Source organism: Homo sapiens, chromosome 3 (genome assembly GCF_000001405.40).
Source record: "Homo sapiens chromosome 3, GRCh38.p14 Primary Assembly".
Lineage (NCBI taxonomy): Eukaryota > Metazoa > Chordata > Mammalia > Primates > Hominidae > Homo > Homo sapiens.
In genome coordinates, this window is record NC_000003.12 from 42,339,105 (window position 1) to 42,342,727 (window position 3,623).

Consider the following 3,623-nt stretch of genomic DNA (forward strand, 5'->3'; position numbering starts at 1 on the left):
CAGTCTATGTGATTGAAATCTAGGAGCTATCACTCCTAAATTGAGAGACAGAAATAAAATTTTAAAACAATTTTCTTAACAAACATATTACAAATAATTAATCTTAAATGGCAGCAAAATGTATCCCTGGTGTCTGAGCCAAAGTTAATATGTACACTTTTCAGAGCCCCTGCTAAGCTGCCTATTGCATTTGCTGGAATATGGCACTAACAGGAGGAACCGCATTCTCATGACCAGATACTAAATGAACATCATTCCAAAGAATTACCATAATATCCTTTATATCTTATAATTGTATGAACTGACGCAAGCAGCACTGTCCGTCAAAGGCTTTATAAATGGCACAGAAAATAAGTACCCTGTGACTGGCATCTATTAACAAAATGAACACCCCAGGCACACTATTTCATTACTCCCACTGGCTCCCAGAGGTATAATTAGGGTTGAATTTTTCATGAACATAAACATTATTTTCTTTGTCCACTATGCTATGCTTTGTGCCTGATTATTTTCAATACTCCACTCAGAAAAACAGAAAAGGAGAGAAGACAGGCATATCCTCACTGACTGAAAGTGATTCTGTGGCTTGCTTTAAGGGTGCCCAGGCCCCTAGCATGGAGCTTGGCGTCCACTTTCAGGCAGAGCTCTCCCAGACCTGCTTTGCCCACTCCTGGCTTATGCTGAGGTTGGAGAAAGACCCAGCATAATCATCTGGAGCTCAGTATCTCTTGCAGAACTCCCAGGTTTTGGAGACGTAAATATATGGTCTTCACTGTTAGTCTACCTACTCTATAATTTTTAAGTCATTTTTTAAGAAAAATAAAAGTGATACGGCTGTGATTGTTCTTGTTCTTCCTCTCGGTTTATTTGGTTGGATGATATCTGGTCTGATTTGCAGACATGTTTGAAATGCTTTGCCAGTGGAATTTATCAGCCATTGCCCCCAGAATCTTACTAAAATATAAATCTAATAATGCCATACTCTTGCTTAAAACCTTTCAATGATTTTCTATTACCAATGAAAGAAAGTCCAAGTTGAACGGCATAGCCTGTGGGGTCTTTGTAAGATGCCCCTGAATGATCTCCATCTATGTTTCCTGTCTCTCCCTTAACAGGCAATCCACTGTCTAGCCACATTAAAGGTCTTATGATTCTCTAATTGTGCCTTTCTTTTACACAATCCTGGGATATAATTTTCCTACATCTCCACCTTGCTAAAAGTAACCCTTAAAAGTAAAATCAAGCCTTGGTGTTCTTTCCGTCTCCCAACATGGTGGCCTCAGAAAAGGAGAAGGAGAAGGAGAAGAAGAAGGAGAAGGAGGAGAAGGAGGAGGGGGGGAGGGGGAGTAGGAGGAGGGGGAGGAGGAGGAGGAGGGGGAGGAGGGGAAGGGGGAGGAGGGGGGAGGAGGAGCAGGGAGAGGGGGAGGAGGAGAAGAAGAAGAAGAAGAAGGAGAAGGAGAAGGAGAAGGAGAAGGAGAAGAAAAAGACAATTTCCCTAATAGACTTTCTGACTGAGGAAGGGCAGACTGGAGGAGGAAGCACCTATATCCCCAGACTGGGCTGATGAAACAGATGAGCCAGAAGGAAATGCTTCAACCACTTGGCACACTAATGATGAGATGTGTATAGGACATCTCCAATTGGTCATTCCATTCTTTTCACTGCTCCACAGGATGCTGGAGAACCCCATATTGATTGGAGCCATCTTCCCAAATCACCATCCTACAATGCTCTTCTAGGGAACTTGCTCTATGATGTGATAGAAGACTCAATTAAGGAATTATTTAGAGGATTAAATATTGATACAGCACACTGACCACATGAACCCGGCATCCAGAGAGGTTGAAAGTTTTAGTTATCCTGAGTTTGAGGACCTGGATGCCCTGTTCAGTACCCTGGGTCTCAATGAAGAGTCTGTAGGTAACAGGATAATTAGAGTGGACATTGCTGACCAAGCACAGGATAAAGACAGGGATGACTGTCCTCTTGGCCAGGATAGAAATTAGGATACTGACAAAACAGATATACTGGAGGTCCATCCTGCCACAGACAGCTTTGATGACTACCTGCCTAGAAGAGGTGTTGATAGCTTTGGAGACAAGTATCAAGATCATGCAATTCAGACCAGTATCATGATGGGTGTCAGGACAGGTTTAGAGATGGCTCACACCAGGATATGGGTCAATGTGGGGGCCGGGATTAAGATGATGACTGAGGCAGCAGAGACTATGATAGAGGCTATGATTCTGCAACAGGCAGTTGCAGAAGAGCATTTGGTAGTGGGTACCTCAGAGATGATGACTACTGAGGAGGTGGATGAAGGCCAATAAGACAGACAGGACAATTGGTCATGGAACTCCAGAGATGATTACTCTTAGGGTGATTATAGGCATGATGATAGGGGTCCCTCCCAAAGATCAGAGCCTCAGAGCATTCATAAGGAAGATGATCCCTCTTCTAGCACCCCCTCAGCTCAGTTGAGTGGCTTCTATCTTTGGAGGGGGAAAGTCCATTGACACAGTTGCTAGAAAAAGAGAAGCAGAAGAACAGCTACAGAAGAAACAAGAGAAACCATATTGACAGCTGGATGAGCCAAATCTAGAACAATGGCCTCTGGAGAGACATCCAAGCTGGCAAAGTGAAGAAACTCAGGAACGGGAATGGTGGAGGACGGGAAGTGAGCCAGTGCAGACTGCGACCCCAGCCACATCAGGCAGAAGCAAGTCAGACCAGGACACATGAAGAAGAGAGAGTGAGAAGTCTCTAGAAAATGAAACACTCAATAAAGAGAAACACTGCCAGTCTCCAATTTCTAAGCCTTCCAAACCTGATCAACTCCTAAAGGTGATTCGAGCCCCTCCACCAAAGGAGACTGCTTAGGTGAAGAGAAGTTCTAATCCTCTTATTCCATCTCAGAGCTCAGAAACAGAGCAGCAACCCCCTACAGGTAGTGAGGGAAAAGTACCTCCAGTTCAACCCTCAGAGGAAAGACCAGCAAAGAAAGATGAAAATAAAGTAGACGGGATGAATGTCCAAAAGTCCAAAGTGGGAACTCGGGCCGTGGTCCAGGAGATGGAGGGAACAAAGACTGCTGGAGGGAGTCAGACAGGAAAGATGGCAAAAAAGATCAAGTCTGCAGATCTGCACCTGAGTCAAAGAAACCTGAGGAAAATCCAGCCTCCAAGTTCAGTTCTGCAAGCAAGTGTGCTGCTGTCTCTGTTGATGGTGAAGATGAAAAGGAAGGAGCAGATTACACCAAATAGACCTCCTGTGCTTTCTCCTAGTCTCTCTCCACTCTGGAACATTCAAGAGCAAAGCAAACCTACATCCAGACAAGACAAAATAACACTCACCACCTCCTGGGGGAGGAAAAAATCAGGGTCAAGTTCTGATAAAATAGCTATGTCTCAACCCAAAGGCAAGCTTCCTATTTAATTTGGAAATACTGAAGACATTTCTGCTAGAGAAATGAACAATGTGAGGAAGTAACTATTGCCACCACTCTTTAGCATCAGAAAGATAAAATATCTGAATAAATTAAATAAGAAGTGTGTAAATGTTTACGTGTAAAACTCTACAACAATCCCTGAAAGTCCAAAAAGTAGACCTGAACCAATGGAAAA

General features: G+C 43.6%; 1 pseudogene; it reads left to right on the plus strand.

Moving 5' to 3' along the window:
- EIF4BP4 (eukaryotic translation initiation factor 4B pseudogene 4) lies at positions 1,487 to 3,362 on the plus strand (annotated as a pseudogene).